This window comes from Homo sapiens, chromosome 13 (genome assembly GCF_000001405.40).
Source record: "Homo sapiens chromosome 13, GRCh38.p14 Primary Assembly".
Classification (NCBI taxonomy): domain Eukaryota; kingdom Metazoa; phylum Chordata; class Mammalia; order Primates; family Hominidae; genus Homo; species Homo sapiens.
In genome coordinates, this window is record NC_000013.11 from 70,570,270 (window position 1) to 70,589,373 (window position 19,104).

Sequence of the window (19,104 nt, forward strand, 5' to 3'; positions counted from 1 at the left end):
GTTGATTTAGGGCATCTGGCAAAAGAAATTTCTAAGCAGCAAAGCATTCAAAATGTGACTTGGGTGCTATTAAAAGTACTCAGTTATATATATTCCCAAATATATGGTTTGGAATTGTAACTTATGTTTACAAGGGAAGTAGAGCATAAAGTTAAAAAAATTTGCAGCCTGATGATGCGATATAAAAGAAAAACCCATTTTCTGAGGAGAAATTCAACCAGACTGCATAAATCTGCATAAGTAGCAAGGAGCCTAATGATAATCACCAAGACAATGGGGAAAATGTCTCCAGGGCATGTCAGAGACCTTCATACCAGGCCCTCTCTTCACAGACCAAGAGGCCTAGGAGAAAAAAAAAGGTTTAGCGGACACATTCCAGGGTCTCCCTGCTCTGTGCAGCCTAAGGACTTGGTGCCTGCATCTCAGCTGCTTCAGCCATAGCTAATAGGGGCCGAGATACAGCTCAGGCCATGGCTTCAAAGGGTGTGAGCCCCAAGCCTTGTCAGCTTCCATATGGTATTGAGCCTGAAGGTGCACAGAAGTCAAGAACTGAGGTTAGGGAACCTCCACCTAGATTTCAGAGGATGTATGGAAACACCTGGATGTCTAGGCAGAAGTTTGCTGCAGGGGCAGGGCCCTAGTGGAAAACCTCTCCTAGGGCAGTGCAGAAGGGAAATGTGGGGTTGGAGCTTCCACACAGAGTCCCCACTAGGGCACTGCCTAGTGGAGCTGTGAGAAGAGAGCCACTGTCCTCCAGACCCCAGAATGGTAGATTCACTGACAGCTTGCACCGTGTGCCTGGAAAAGCCACAGACACTCAATGCCAGCCAGTGAAATCAGCCAGGAGGGGAACTGTGCCCTGCAAAGCCACAGGGGCAGAGCTGCCCAAGGCCATGGCAGCCCCTCTCTTGCATCAGTGTGCCTTGGATGTGAGACATAGTGTAAAAGGAGATCATTTTAGAGATTTAAGATTTGACTGCCCCACTGGAATTCAGACTTTTATGGGGCCTGTAGCCCCTTCGTTTTGGCCAATCTATTTCGGTATTGACTCAATGCCTTACCCCCATTGTATCTAGGAAGTAACTAACTTGCTTTTCACTTTACAGGCTTATAGGCAGAAGGGACTTGCGCTGTCTCAGAAGAGACTTTGGACTGTGAACTTTTGAGTTAATGATGAAATGGGTTATGACTTTGGAGGACTGGTGGAAAGACATAATTGGTTTTGAAATGTAAGGACATGATATTTTGGGGAAGCCAGGGGCAAAATGACATGGTTTGGCTATGTCCCCACCCAAATCACATCTTGAATTGTAGCTCCCATAATGCCTATGTATCATGGGAGGGACCTGGGGGTAGATAATTGAATCATGGGAGAAGTTTCCTCCCATACTATTCTTGTGGTAGTGAATAAGTCTCACAAGATCTGATGGTTTTATAAATGGGAGTTCCCCTGAACAAGCTCTCTTTTCTGCCACCATGTAAGACGTGACTTTGCTATTCATTCGCATTCTGTCATGATTGTGAGGCTTCCCCAGCCATGTGGAACTGTGAGTCAATCAAACCTCTTTTCTTTATAAATCACTCAGTCTTAATTATGTCTTTATTAGCAGTGTGAGAACAGACTAATACACTCTGCTAAGATATGCTTCATGCAACTATATAAGTATGTGTTCTGTGCTAATATGATAAAAGGCAACAGCTTTTGCCTAACATGGGGGCATTGTGATGGGAACTGCTACTGAAATCTGCCACCCCAAATGGAGTCATTATTCATGAGGTTTCCCAAATTTGATTCTCATTATCTCCAATCTTAGGCCATTCCATCGAAGATTCTTTCTGCACTCTGAGTTTCCTCTGCAAATCACATAGGAAGTTCTGGATCATCTGAGTGTTAATCTTAGGCTGTTGAGGATGTAAAATTATCACTCAGGATCATTTTTAGAGACATTATCTATGAATATGCCAGTTCTGAACTCCTGACAGATGACAAGTTGGACAACACTGAAGATGTGCTTCATAGCCCAGTGGAATGAGAATAAGTGGAGCGCTATCAAAAAGTCATACTTGTGTTGGTCTCTTTCTGGATTCTCTTCTGGTCCATTCATCTATGTGCCTATCTCTCTGTTTGCAAATATACAATTTTTGTTGACTGTAGATTTAATACTAAATGTTCTTAAAATTGTGTAATGCTTATTTTCAAACATTGTTGTATTTCAAAATTATTGTCACTAATAATTTTGTCTAATTCCTTTTCTTTTCCTTATATATTTTAGATTCTGTTTCTGTATGTCTACAAAACTTCGTGGGATTTTGGGATTTTCACATATATTGCATTAAGACTAAAGATTGGTTTGGGCAGAACTGACATCTTTACTGTGTTGAATTTTCCATAGTATTTATCTCTGTTTATATAAGCCTTCTGTAATATTCAAAATATTTTATTTTATATTTTTGGAGTTATAAATGGTATTTTATTTTATTATTTATTCATTTATTTATTTTGAGACAGACTCACTCTGTCGCCCAGGCTGGAGTGCTGTGGTGTGATCTCGGCTCACTGTAGCCTTGACTTCCTGGGCTCTAGCTATCCTCCCACATCTGACACCCAAATAGCTAGGACCACAGGCGCTCACCCCCATGCCCAGCTAACTTTTTTTTTTTTTTTGTAGAGATGGAGTTTCATCATGTTGCCCAGGGCTCAAGCAATGTGTCCACCTCAGCCTCCCAATATGCTGGGATTATAATAGGTATGAGCCACTGTTTCTGGCCAATAAATGGTACTTTTAAAAGTATGGTTTCCAATTGTTTATTGCTTGAATATGGAAGTATGATTAATTTTAGTATGATCACATTGTATTTGGTAGCTTTACTAAAGTTACTTATCATGTCTAGGAAAGTTTTTGTATATTCCTGGGATTTCTCTATAAAAAAGAATGTCATTTGTTAATGGGAGTAATTTTATCTCTACTTTGCAAACTTTACTTTTTTAATTTCTTTTTCTTGTCTATTGTTTTGACTAAGATTTAGAGTCTTATGATAAATAGGAGTAGTGAGACTGGATAGTATCAGCTTGTTCCTGATCTAGAAAAAGCATTCTCTCATTCACTATTAAAATGGTATTTGCAGTAAGTATGCTGCAGATGCCAATTACTGAGTTAAATAAGTTTCTTTCTTTTTAAACTTGAATGCTTAGAGTTTTTACAATAAGTGGGTGTTTAATTTTGTCAAATGTTTTATCTACATTTATTGATACAATTATGTTTTATTTTCTTTAAATTATTAACATGGTGAATTACACAGATTAATTTTTGTAAATTGAGCCAATGTTACATTATTGCAAGAACTCCACTTGGCCATGATGTATTCTGTCATTATTTGCTTTGCATATTTTGAAGTTCAGTTATTGGTGCACACATAGTTAGGATCATCATAATCTTCTTCGTGAAATGACCATTTTATCAATAGGTAATATTCTTCTTTATCCCTGCGCATTTATATTATTAACTCTGAAGTCCACTTTAACTGATGTTAATATACTCACTCTATTTTTCTTTTAATTAATACTTGCTTGATATATCTTCTTCTATCTTTATTTTATAACATATTATATCTGAAATTATTTTTTGTAGAAAACATATAGTTGGGTCATTTTTAAAAGTCTAATCTGACAGTATGTTGTATTTAGAACACATATTTAATGTAATTACTTAAATATTTGGATATAGATCTATCATTTCATCATATGTTTTCTGTGTGTTCATTTGTTTGTGTTTCCCCTCTTTGAAGGCTCCACCCAGCTTTTGGATTATTTGAATGTTTTAGGATTCTATGCTAATTGATCTATCATGATTTTGAAAATATCTCTGTTTATATATTTTAATGGCTGTTCTAGTGATTAAATAGTAATAGTTAACTCCCCAATATCTAACTGCACTTAGTAGTTTACAACTTCTTTTTTGAATGTGGAAACCTTACTGCAGCAATAGAGATTTTCCTCTACCCCATCTATGCTATAACATTTTATGTAATACATCTACATTTATTGAAATATTGATACTCATTCAATAATACTACTTTTTTTGCCTTAAACCATAAAACTTTTTAAAAACTCAAGAGGAGAATAATCTGTTATATTTGTATAGATATTTACTGTTCTGCTGCTCTTCTTTTATTTCTAATATTTTTTGTTTCTTCTGGTATAACTTGTGTTCTTTTTGAAGAACATAATTTAGCAATTTCTTTTAGTGTAGGTATAATGCCTACAATTATTTTACAGTTTGTCATAGTTTCTTTTGTGTTGCTAAAACAGAATACCACAGACTGAGTAATTTATAATGAACAGACATTTATTTGGCTCACAGTTCTGGAGGCTGTAAAGTCTAAGAGCCTGGCACCAGCATCTGGCAAGGGCCTTTGTGCTACATTATCCCATGGCCGAAGGGCACGGGAGTATGAGAGCAAGAAGTGTCAAAACCTGCTTTTATAAGAAAGCCACTCTCACAATAACTAACCCATTTCCACCATAACAAAATTAATGCATTCATGAGGTCAGAGCTCTCATGGCATAAGCACTTCTTATCAGGACACACCTCTCACCACTGTTGCATTGGAAATTAAGTTTCTGGCACATGAACTTTGGATGACATTCACACCATTGTAGGTTTCATTCATCTAAGAATGCATTTCTCTCTTCTTGAAGAATATTGTCACAGGACGGCAATCTTGGAGGAGCAAAGACACAGCAAGAAATGACAGGGTTATGAAGAAAATTGAGGATGGTAGTCAAGATGATAGAAGAAAAAAAACTAAAAAAAATAGGATCAATTATTCACAGTTCATGGGAAGTTTCCATTTGAATTCACTAATAATGGAGCAGGATACAAGTAGGTCTCCATGGAATAAGCAAAGAGATAGTGAACAAAATCTATGTGGGAATGCTAGAGAGGCAATCTGATGGAAGTATATAGTGCAGTTTAAACTGTGTGGAAAATTCTCCTTTTGGGCCACCTCAGTGAGAAGAAAAAGGAATTATTAGTAAAATTGCGTTTATTGAGCCAAGAAGAAGCCACTATGATAATGTTTCTAGAATCCATTTATATTATAGTATAAACATTTGATATTACCAATAAAGAACTTCTTATTTATTAACTGCTCAAAAAATAACTGCAACTATTGTTATTGTGTGTTTATCTTATTTATGTAATAAGGTACAATTTTCCTTTGAAATATTGTATTTTGAAATTAAATAACTGAATTTCCTTTGTAATTAAGTTATTAAGAGCAGCTTACGTTTATAAAGACAGTGTTCACTAAAACTCTGTGTGAAAACAAGGAGAGAAATCATAAATCTTACTGCAAGCTTGGTAGATAAAGCTGTAACTATGATCTAAAAGCTAAAATATTTTGTTTTAGAAGTGGGTTATCATAGCATGAAATAATATTAAGCATTTAGGGAATGCTGATAAAAATACATAAAAATGTTAAATATAGATTATTTTGAGTTCTGGGGAAAATATTGGTTTCATAAATTCTTTTCTGCTTTTGTGACTTTCCTACATATTTTTTCAATGAACATTTGCTATCTATAAAATTGGACAAATCTATTTGTTAAAGATCAGATGGAAGGTATTACTATAAGCAAGGGTTTTTAGATGCATTATCAACATTCTTTTTAGGGTAGAGGACTTATTGTTCCAATTTTATAAATAAACAAACTGAATGCCATAGAAGATAATTTGTCAAAGGATAGACTAAGGATCAGAATTGTGATACTTACTTTTCCAACAGTGCTCTACTGGGTTACTCCTATTGGGGTATAATCTCGGGTAGAATCAACTAAAAAGCTGTCCATAAAACTTTCTGGAAATGCCACTTCAGGAAGATGAAGATGAACCATTCTCTATTATTTCTACTAAGTACAACCAAAAATCCTAGACACTATATACAACAAAAACATAAGAAAACTTTTAAAAAAGGAGAGTTTGAAGAATGGTATGGTGGTGAATTTCTGAGTTTTCTCTTTTCCCATATATCCCAGACTTAAAACAAGGAGTGAGCAAGCTGGAAAAAACCAAAGGCACAAGCAAAAATAGTCTTAATAAAGACCTCCTCTCTCTAGCCAAAGGAACAGGAAAGGAGCAACCTGGAAACACAGAAAACTTCTAGACAGTAACTCTCCATACTGTAGCAGAAAAACCCACAGGAATGAAATATGGGATACCACTACAGACCTTGCAGATACTAAAAGTATAGTGGGATACTTTGAATAAATCTGCATAGTTAAATTGGACAGCTTTGATAAAACTATTCCTAAAAAAAAAAAAATTCCACAACTCACTCACTTTGAAATAGATAACATGAATAGCCTTATAACAATTAAAGAAAATAAATTTATCATTTAATACCACCCACCTCCTCCTGCTCCCCCTAAAAAAACCCTCTAGTCCAAATGTTGTTAAAGAAACACAACAATTATACACAATGTTTCTGAAAAATTAGAAGTGAAAATAAAGCTTCAAAATCTATCATATAAAGCTAGTATTACTCTGATATCAAAGTCAGACAAAGGGAATACACAAAAATTAAACTATTGACCAATATGCCCTCTTGAATGTAGGAGAAAAATCCTTAATAAAATATTAGCCATAAAATAAACCAACATATAGAAAGAATTATACCTCTTGAGCAAATAGGATTTATTTTAGTCATCAAAGTCTGGTTCAACATTTGAAAATCAATAAATACTATTGACCATGTTAACAAGTAAAAGAGGAAATGGATGGTCACACTAATTGATGCAGAAGAAAATTTGTTTTCAAGATTAAACACCTATTCGTAATGCAAAATAACAACAAAAAATACATACACACAACACTAAATGAAACAAAAATACCTCTTAGAAAAATAGAAAGAGAGAGGAACTTACCCAACTCGATAAAAGAGCATGTAATATACAGAAATACGAACACCCTACCCTTTGCTTAATTGTGAAAGACTAAATGATTTTCTTCTAAGATGGGTATAGGGCAAAGTTGTCATCTCCCACTATAATTATTCAATATAGTGCTGAAAGTTCTAGCCAGTGCAATAAGAAATATGGAAATAAAAGGGATACAAATTAGAAAAAAAAAACATATAAGACTATTTGCTCATAACATGATTTTCTACATAGACGTTCCTGATTATGTAAAACACACAAACAGAACTTCCTAGAACTAATAAGTTAGTCGAGCACGATTGTAAGATATAAGACAAATATGTAAAAAGCTATCATAAATATCTAAATGTAAGAAATAAAATTATAAAACTCTTAGAAGAAAAACTTGGGGAAAAACCTTCAGAACATTAAATTTGGCAATTATTTCTTAGAGATGACTCCAAAAACATAAGCAACAAGGCAAAAAGAAATAGACATACTGGACTTCATTAAAATTACCAGCTTAAAAGACACCATCAGTAGAGTAAAAAGGCAACCAACAGAACGAGTGAAAGTATTTGCAAATTGCATGCTTGATAAGTGATTAATATGTAGAATATATGAAAACCCCAAAACTCCGCAACAGAAGCACACATCCCAATTAAAAAATGGTCACAGAACGGGAATAGACATTTATCTGTAGAATACATAAAGATGGCCAATATGTACATGAAAAAAATCACTAGTAATTAGGGAAATGTAAATCAAAACTATGATGAGATATCATTTTACACACATTAAAATGGCTATTATTTTAAATAAAAACAGAAAATAACAAGTGCTGGTGAGAATGTGGAGAAATTGGAAGCTTCGTGCATTGTTGGTGGGAAGGAAAAATGGTGCAGCCAGTGTTGAACACACTTTAATGGTTCCTCAGAAAACTAAAATTATAATTAGCATGTGACTCAGTAGTTCATTTCTATGTATATACACAAGATAATTCAAAACAAGGACTCAAACAGATACTTATAGGCCACAGTTCATTGCAAAATTATTCACAGCAGGCAAAAGATGGAAACAACTCCTGTTTCCATCAATAGATGAATGAAAACCAAAATGTAGTATATACATACAATGGGGTATTATTCAGCCATAAACAGGAATGAAGTTCTCATACATGCTACAATTGGGATGAACTTTGGAAACATCCTAAGTAAAATAATCCAGACACAAAAAGACACATATTGTTTAATTCCAATTATATGAAGTAAGGATCCAGAGTAGGCAAATTTATAGAGACAAAATAAATTAAAGATTACCATTGGCTGTAGAGAAGAATTGGGAATTGTCTTTTAATGATTACAAGGCTTCTGTTTGTGATGATGAAGAAGTTTTGCAAATAGCTAATGAAAATGTTTGTTAACATTGTAAATCCAATTAATGCTACTCAATTGTATATCTAAATGGTTAACATGGCAAATTTTATAATATATTATGTATATATAATACAAAATTAAAATTCAGTTTGTATTTCTATATGCCATCAGTAAACGTGGAGACTGAAATTTAAAATGCAATAGTATTTACAATAATTAAACAAATTAAATACTTAATATGCACATCTAACAAAACACATACAGGAATTTTATTTAGAAAACTTAGAAGATCAATGAAAGAAATCAAAGATTAGCTAAATAAATGAAGAGACAAATAGTGTACATGGATTAGAAGAGTCAGCCTAATAAAGATATCAGTTTTCCCCAAGTTGATATGCAAGTTTAATGCAAGTCTTATCAAAATCCCAGGAAGATTAATTTTTGTACATAAATATGCAATAGGCAAACATACTATAGACAAGATTATTCTAAAACTTGTATAGAAAGGCAAAGAAACCAGAAATGGTAAAAATAATTTAAAAAAAGAAAAATAAAGTGGGAGGAATAATCTACTCAATCGACTTGTTTTATTAGGAGGTGAGACACATAGATCAATGGAACACAATTAAGAAACAAGAAATAGACCTGTACAAATATGCCTGATTTATTTTTGACAAAAGAACAATAACAACTCCATAAAGAAAATATGGCCTTTCAACAAATTTTACTTAAAAATTAGATATCCATAGCCAAATTAAAGAAAAAATTATGTCTTGTGCAAAAGTTAACTCAAAATGAGTTATGTCCATTAGTTATGAGGTGAAACCATACATTATAAATGAAAAATTAAAAATATAAACGTTTCAGAAAGAAGTATAAGAGAATAATATGTGGACCTATGTTTAGGCAAAAAATGTAATTAGACTTGATACTAAGCATAATTCATAAATAAAAAAATTTAATATACATTTTGCTTAATCAAAAAAAACCTTTTGCTCTAAGAAAGACCCTATTAAGAGCCACATCTTGGAAAAAATGTTTGCAAATCATATATTCAACAAAATGTTAGTATCTGGAATAAATAAACAACCCTCAAAATTCATGAGTTAAAAAAAAATGAAAATCTGATTAGAAAATGGGCAAAAGAGACAAAGAGACATTTCACTGAAATGTCAAATAAGGACAAATAAACACATGAAGATCCTCATCATTTCCCATTAGGGCAATGCAAATAAACCACAATGAGATATTAGCACACACCTATGAGAAGGGGTATAATTAAAAATGGATGATATTAATAAATACTAGAGAAATGAAAAGCAAATGGATCATTTATATGCTGATGGTGGGAATGTATATTAGTACAGTTATAGTGGACGATTGGCAGTTTCTCATAAAACTGAATATGCAACTACCATATAATTCGGCTATAACATTCTTAAACATTTATCCCAAAGAAATCAAGCCTTATGTTGACACAAAACATGTACATGATTGTATATAGCAGCTTTATTCACAATAGTCAATAACCAGAAACTACCTAGATGTTTGTACATGGGTGAATGACTAAACAAACTGTAGTAGATCCGTATCATGGAACACTATTCAGCAATGTGAAGCAGTCACCCATTGGTACATATAAAAACCTGGATGAATCCCCAGAGGATTATGCTTAGTGAAAAAAAAAACCAATACCAAAAGGTTACATAGTGCATGATTCCATTAACGTAGCATTTATTGTTTAAATGACTAAATTATAGACATAGAGAAAAGATGAGTGGTTGTCTGGGTTTAAGGAAGGAATGGAGATGGGAAATTGGCATGGTTATAAACAGACAAAATGAGGGATCCTTGTGGTGATGGAAATATTCTTTATCTTTATTTTTTCACTGTCAATTTCCTGATTGTAATATTGTCCTATAATTTTATAATATCTCACTTATGAGGGAAATTGGGCAACTGCAGGTACACAGATCATACTGCCAAAAGAATCAAATTTAATCTTTCAATTTAATCTTTAAAATTTAAAATTTATCCCATAATTCAATGTTCACTTGAACACCCAAATATCACTTTAGACTTAAACCATACTGCCATTGAAATTTGTCATGAAATTGTTTCTCTCAGATACTTGACGAAGTTTTAAACAAAACGTGAAATCTGTTTAAGTAAAATGGTTACTTAACAACAACAGCAACAACAAAAACCCTACCCTTCTCTACTAAATTGCTCTATAAGTGGTCAGGAACAAAAACAATGCTCAATTCTCCAGCACCATTTTTTGTTGTTGTTATTGTTGTAATCTACCCAAGTCCACTGTTTTCCCTATTTCTGTTGTTATCCCCTCTATCTTTGTATTAGTAGCTCTTCTGGACCTGTTGTTTCTGTCATCACTCCTTGTCTTGTGAACCTGCTGTTGTGCCAGAAATGTTATTCTTACTTATGCAATCAGTGCTTTGCAATGATTAAGCCATATGACAATGTCCAATCTTTGCCATTTCAAGTAACTACACATCCCCACCCACATCTGATCTCAGGGATGTGATTCTCATATCAAACATCTAGGAGAAAACTAAGCCAGACCTGATCCAATTAGTCTTTGGGAAACTCAGGTTTCTCTTCCTCTGTGAAATTTCTACTGAACACCCCAGGGAGAAGCATGATCTCTTTCACTTTAAAATCGATACGCTAAGTTTTTGTAGCTTTCACTTGGTAAATGATTAACTTTCTTATAACTTTCTTAAAATCAGGATGTTATTTATATAAATTTATACAGAAACATATATAAAAGAGATCACTTTCCATATGATCTCTGAAATTTTTTACTTAAGATTAAACCTTATATTTCTTTTTATATCTTACAGTACTTTGCACATAAGCATTAAATCAAATATTTAATTATTTACTACTATTTCTCAGAGAACTTAAATACATTCTAAGTAAGATACCACAAACAACACCAACCAGGTGCTTGAAGTCTTCCTTTTCTTTTTCTTTTCTTTCTTTTTTTTTTTTTTTTGACAGTCTTGCTCTTTTGCCCAGGCTGGAGTGCAGTGGTGTGATCTTGGCTCACGGCAGTCTAGACCTCCTGGGATCAAGCGATCCTCCTGCCTCACCCTCCCGAGTAGCTGGGACCACAGATTCATGCCACCATGCCTGGCTTTCTTGCTTATTTGTTTATTTATTTTTCTAGAGACATAGTATCCCCATGTTGATCAGGCTGTTCTCAAACTCCTGGCCTCAAGAGATCCTATCCTCTCGGCCTCACAAAGTGTTGGGATTATAGGCAAGTGCCACCATGCATGGCCCTTCTTAACATATTTTTTTAAACAAATTCAATCCATTCTGAACACTCTTGAAGATATAAAATATAGTATAAATATAAGATAGCCTCTCTTTAACACTAGAAATATAGCTGCGTCTTCATCTTTGATAAAACACACATTCAAAGTTAGTGCTTTTTAATTCTATGATATTTTTATATACCAAAATGGAATAATTGCTTTAAATAATATAGGTAAAATAAAACAAAGGATACAGTATGAAAGATTCATTAAAAATACTATAAAAATACTAATCATTTTTGTTAGGGTGAAATACACTTCTTCCATTAATACTACCTTAAATTGGATTAGAATAGGAAACATTCAGTAGAACAAGGAAGGTCTTCATTTACACGAAAGAATAATTTATAATTATTTGTTAACAATAGCTTGCACTGTTTTTTTTTGTTTTTTTTAATTCAGCCATGAACGTGTTATGGAACATGTTATGAACTCAGAAAATGTTCCCCCCTGTGAAGCTGGTCAGGTCTACGTAGTGAAATTTCACATAGGCTCTTAATTTGGGGCATTATTAATATTTCTTTAAGGCACAGGTTTTTACATAAAATGGACTACAGTAGTAAATAATTAATATTATTTTCTAATCCAAATTTATTGAGAATTTCAAAGAATCTTAAAGAAAAATCATCTATACAATAGTTGGACTTGAAACAGTTTCAGTGAAAGTACAGAATTAATTTAAATCCTAGGTGAATTTTCTGTTTTCTTCCTTCCTTCCTCTCTTCTTTCCTTCTTTCCTCCCTATGCATCCCCCCACTTTCTTTTTTCCAAAAAACAGTTAAGAACTTAGACAATAACACACTATTTTATGTTTTTTCATCTTTATTTTCAGGTACTCTGCTTATAATTACTATTAATTTTATGTAGTTAAGCTAATATAATATAAAATGTCACCTACTGAATAAATCAAGTTAATATTGTAATTGATTTTTCTGGATTGCTTGTGATTACTTACTTTCAACAGAGGCTGGTTTTGTACTTACATTTACTTTCTCATTTTCACATTATTGATTGCAATTGCTGCAAAAAATGGAATTGTTGTGTCTATTGTTTTATGGTATTAATTAATTTTATTTACTCATGGATTACATTTTGAGTAATTACATTATGACAAAGTAACACTAATGTAAATAAATTACTTTATTTGAATACACTACTATTGGTATTTATAAGTAAACCTCTCATTCCATAAAAAATCTTTGTGATTAGAACAAAATCAATACCATAATTTTTCACTCTTTCCTACACACCACAAGACACAGTAATCCTTGTTTACATAGCTGTTAATCAGTGTCAAATTGAAGAACAATTTTTAAAAATATCCAGCAGGGGATGATCCTAGACCTCATATTTAACACTTTAATCAGTGGCCTAAGCATTTTGCTTAGTGTCAAATGACCCTCACAATTGTACATTACAGGAAGGGCATTTTCAGAAGTTTTTAAAATATGTGCATAAAATGGTAATAAGCAGCAAACTAAGGAATAACAAAATCAGAACTATGTAACTCCATAAGGAAACCTGACTGTGAAAATAGCAGAAAGAGAGAATTTAGCAACATGCAAGTACAACAGTAAAATGTCAAGAATCTCAATGTTTATTAATCAAAAGCATACTATTGTATTAATAGGTAAGAAGGGAATGGTGATATGGGCATGAATAAATAGTGAGATAAAAATTAGGAATCTTTAGCTAGTTTTACAATAATAGGCATTTATTTTATTCAAGAGTAAATAAACTCTATAGATAACTATATAAATAAATTCCAAAACAGTTCTAGAAAACATGCTCTAGACACCACTTAGAATCAAAGAAAGGTAAAAGCTGAAAGACCTAAATGAAAGACTATAAGGAGCGAATTTCCCTTTCAAGTATAGGAAAATTGTATGTTAGCTATGTTGCATTTAAGTTTAGAGACGAATTGAACTACTAAAAGTGTAGAATACAATTAATATTGCACTTAAGTTTTTCAGGAAATGTAATGTTTTCTACATTGCACTGGGTTACAGGGGAATGGCTTTAAAGGTCTTTGCCTGGAGAATACTAAAATTAAAATGAATTTTCCACTTCTGATAATGACAATCTTTGCGATTGAGTTTAACCACCATGATAAAAACAATAAAGGAGCTAGAACAGAACATACACACACACACACACACACACACACACACACACACACACACACACACACGGACATTTTCTTCCTTTTGCCGTAGCTATAGCGGACATTCAAGGGCCTGGAGCATGAGCCGCTGCCCCAGGAGCCCTGCCTGCCCCGACACCCAGCCCAGCTTGCCAATGGCGGACTCAAACGCCGCTGACTGCCACCCACACGCCCTCCCCAGACCACCGTGTTCAGTTTGTATTTTCGATTGAGAATGGTTTGAGGAAAAATGATATGTGTACTGCATGTGAGGAATTTTGTCTTAAGCACTGAGGCTAGAGATACTCACTGAGGCATAACCTCACTAACACAGTTTATTACATCTAGTTTATCTTTACGAACACACTTCTCAACCAAAACAAATGCAAATGTAATGATATATTTAAATAATAAAAAATAACTTTCAATCTAGATGTCAATACCCTGAGAATGTATTTTTGAAAAATAAAGATAAGATGGCATTTCCAGAAAAAAAAAATTTGACAGAATTCAACATTGCTGATCTGTTTTGCAGGCAGATGCAAATAATAAAGGGTATTCTTGGCAACTAATTATAAAATGTATACAGAAATGCAAAGGACCAAGAATATCTAAAGACATTTAATAAAAAGAACAAAGTGGGAGAAGTTATTCTAATAAACATCAAAAAATACAATAAAACTACAGTAATGAAGATGAATAGCAAAAGTGGTAAAATTGAGAGTGCAGAAACATCCATGACTGTATGAAAGATTAATGTAAGACATATTGGAATAAAAGTGGTCTCCAAAGTAGAAAGAAAGTATGAAATTTTTCATACATTATTCTAGAACAACAGCAAAAATTTAGAGACAAAAGCTGAAACTTGATCTTACTTAAAAGCACAAGCAAAAAAAGCAAAAATGTAAAAGCAAGAACAATATGATTTCAGACCATAATGTAAAGTCTTTTTCTTTTTTTCTTTTTATCTCTTCTTCCATTTTTCTTTTCTCTTTCACTTTTTCCTTTCTTCCCCTTAGCTTTCCCTTCCTGAATAGATCCGTCGAAAATCCATTAGGTAGGACAGAAGCTGGTGTCTGCATGAGTGTGTGTCTGTGTGTGTGTGTGTTGAGTGTTGAGTATTGGTGGTCTAAAGCAGGGTGTTGAAACTCAAGCCAGGTGAGAAGAATGTCTGTGCAGGAGGGTCATGGACAAGTGCAATGTGCGTGATCACATGTTGGGTAATAAATACACAGGCAAAATAAAGCAAACAAGCATGGGGTGTTAAAGTGTATGTTTGGTAAGGAGGCATTCACACAGGTCGGCAGCCTGGCACAGACTAAAAGCTTGAGTACAGTTAGAGTGCCCTTTCACAGATGGTTTTCCGATCATAAAACGTAACCTACAAGCACAACCTCCATTGATTCTCTTGGTGATGTTGGTGCCCATCTTAACAGAGTCTCTTATTGATTTTATAATGCCACGTTCACACACTTTCACAAAATGTCCACATCGTGTGTTTTGCAACCTTACAGAATATATGCACTCTAGAATATCCAATAATCTGAGCCTTTTGATTTCTTCTGTCACCATCTACCAGAGCAGTTTTGACATTTTAACTTAATGTATACAGCTATGTCTTTATGCTTCTAATAGCCATCCTAAGAGCACGTCAGTGTCCTTGCCTGGATGTTACATTCTGTATCATAAGACAATGTTTCCATATTGATAAACTCTCTTTTAACCGACCTTGTTATCTACATATCTTCTCTTGATTTGGTATCCTCAGAATGCAGTCCTGTATTTATTTTATTGGGTTATGTGAATACTTATTTACTGAGTATTTAGATTTAGATAGAGTTTTATGTTTTTTCCTTAGGATGCCTAGCACTATGCTGGCTAAGTTATGTTTGACGTCATTTATTTGTCTAGATATCTAGGGTTGTTCCTGTCTTGTAATGAAGAGCCCTTTGCATTGTCTTCCAAAACAGGGAGAGTGCTAGCCTTGAAGAGCCAGATGTAGGCTATGACTGCAGAGAAATTTGATTCCCAGGGAATTCCAGAAATTCAAAAATTTCAACCAAGATCTTCCCATCCCTTATCCTACACACTTACTTCTCAGCCTGATGGTAGTGTGGTGTACCTTCCAGGACTGATAATTCAATCTTCCCTAGTTCCTGCTTACTCCTATATTGAGTCCTAGACCTAGTCTTTAGATTTTCTGCCCACTGATTGTAGGAGATAAGAGTCTATTTATAGCTCTTAAGTGGACCTTCTGGCCTCACACTTCACTTGTCTTTCTCTAAAGCGTTTAACACCCAAGCAACAGCTATCCAATTCTGTTTCCCTTATAACTGTGATTCCTGATTCCTCCACTACATGTCGAATTCTTAATATGTTGCATCAGCCATTTCATTTTCTATTTCCAGTATGTTACCTTAGTTGAGTGAAATTTTTAACAGTTGTACTGCTACCATATGCCAAGGACTATGAATAGTCCATCCACAACCAGTGATGGGGTTCTCATTGCCTGCTAACAATGATCTAGCTCCAAAATCTTAGTTCTGAGTCTGCTCTTTTGGACCTCTCCTGGCAATGACTCTAGTAGGTTGGGTAAATGTCTTTGAAAGCAAGACTCTAAGAAAGAAATTCATGCAAGAAGTTAATGGAGGTTCTTAGGATGAACAACTGTAGGATGGGAAAGAGGGAAAAGTTGAAATGTACTGAAGTAAGAGTAAAAGATTTAGTCAATCCTTCCGGGAGCTCTAGAGCTGGGTTAGGCTTACAAAATTGCTCTAAGTAAAGGCAGAGGATCAGGACATTTATATATCACATTGAACTATCACTGGATTCAGCCTGCCCCGGAAATGGTGGACAAAAGTTTGGGCAAGGTAGCTCTCTTGAGTCCAAGCCAACTGCAAAGAGGTAAATCAGCAGAGAGCTTTCAGCCATCAATACTCCCAGCATCTAAGACAATGGGTTCTTCCTTCCTGAAAGAGAAAATCTGGATAGCACACCACACTTCTGCAAAAAGTTATAAATGGCTGGGTTAGTTTTCTCGTTTGTTTGTTTCACTTACTGCATTGAACCACAAAATGTTTAATGCTCTCCTTGATCAAATACATACATGACATGTGCTATGATTTGCATGTGTTTCTTCCAAAATTCAGATGTTGCTAATGTGATAGTATTAAGAGGTGGAGACTTGAAGAGATGATCAGGCTGTGAGGTGCCTTCCTTGTTAATGGAATGGAAGTCCTTATAACAGGTGTTTCATACAGCATTCAGCTAGTTTGCTAGCCTGCTCTTCCATTGTTCTGCCATGTGAGGACTACAGGTGCTTTGATCTTGGACCTCCCAGCCTCCAGAACTGTGAGAAAGTAAATTTCCCTTAAAAAAATTACTTACATTTTGTTATAGCAGCACAGAATAAGACAGCACGACAGTGTTATACTACAGAAGGATGTATGAACATGATACCAATTTTGTGTTTTGAATTGTTGAAAAGAAATTTAATTTGTTATTTCCTCCAAGGGTTAGCCATTTGGGGTTGCCATTATAAGACATCTGCACACTAAGGTTTAGCCTTTTTTTTTTTTTTTGGTTGACATTACAAAACATTTAAACACTTTGCACATTTCTCTGAAAGGGCTTCCATGACTAGCAAACAAATGTTTGTTCTATTAGTTTAATACTAGCAAAAATGTATCTTTGGAAATTGGATTTGACAAAAACAATTTAAATGAGTATGCTACACTGAAAGTGGTTTTTGAAAATAAAAGTGATGATCTAAACTACATTCCAATAATTTTAGAGTTTCAGATTAAAACAAAAACTGTTCCCTAATTTCAAACTTTACGAAAATGATTTAATAGCATTTGATTTTCTTTTTCAACTAATATGAAAATAAATTAAAGCTCATAAATGGAATTGATTCATATAAAGTACTAAACTATGGGACACTAAATATGATAATTCTATAACATACTGAAAGTGATTATATAAAATAGATATTATAAAAAAGACATTGTGCAAACCGTTCTATTATATTGGGAAATACCAATGTTTTTCCTAGTTAACAGACTCAATAATGAGTTTTGTTATGCATATTACTAACCAATAAACGTAATTCGTTGCTAATTGACATCTTTGTTCACAAGAAAAAAATAGATAACTGTATTCAAATCAAGCAAATAAAATTATGGTAAAATTTTAGTTGCTAAATATGTATGTTTTTCAATTAGTACTTTTATGTAGTACTCTCATTCAGTAAAAAACAATGTTTGATACATTTGAGAAAACATATACACAATGGACTGCTAATACACATCTACCAAGTAGCTATAATTAAAACCTGACAGTAAAGTTTGACTGAGGACCTGAAACAAAAGGACCTTTCATCTACTGCTGGTGGAAGTATAATTGGCACATATTTTTGAAATTAGTTAGGCATTATATTTTAAAAGTGGAGATTTGCCTATGATATGAGCCAACAATTCTACTTTCAGAGGTAGTAACATAGAAATAGAAATATATGTACACCAAGAAAGTGTGTAAAGTTATGTATGCACAAAATTATGTATATAGATGATTAGTTATATAACATATGCCTTAATACATGTACAAATGTTTCTATGAATGTATAATATATTCCACTTCTTAAAAATTAAACTATACAACTGAACTATACTACTAAGAAATATATGCTTAGTTGCTAAACAACAAAAGAAAGACATGAAAAAATGTTACCATGAAGTCAATAATTATTTTGGGTAAGAACTGTGCAATGATTCAAGGAGAAATTGGAATGCATACTCTGGAGTACTAACATTGCTATGTAATATGCTATTCATTGTGATATAATGCATTGAGATGTACATTTCTGTATTTTTTGCATATGTGTTACATTTTTAAACTAATTTTTCTTATCAAAGTAGATAAGAAAAATAAGGTGTTACATTTTTAAACTAATTTTTCTTATCAAAGTAGATAAGAAAAATAAGGTAATCTGTTGTTTGTAAGGATAAAAAGAAAATACCACCATGTTAGAAAATTAGGAAAAGTATTCTTATATATTTTTCACCTTCCTGGGAGAATAGACTATACTTTTACTTATAATTTCTCTATTCACTTATTATGTAATTATTTACTTAATTTTACACAAAATATTTTTATTATTTTTTCTTTACAGACTCCTAATTTGAAATCATGAATTAGTTAATAATCATAAGACGTATTCAAATAGCTTTTTACATTTTAATGAAAATTTAGTAAAAGCTGTCATACGAAAAATTAGTCCCTGATTTCTAGCATCCAATAACCCAATCTATAAATTTTAAAAATTTA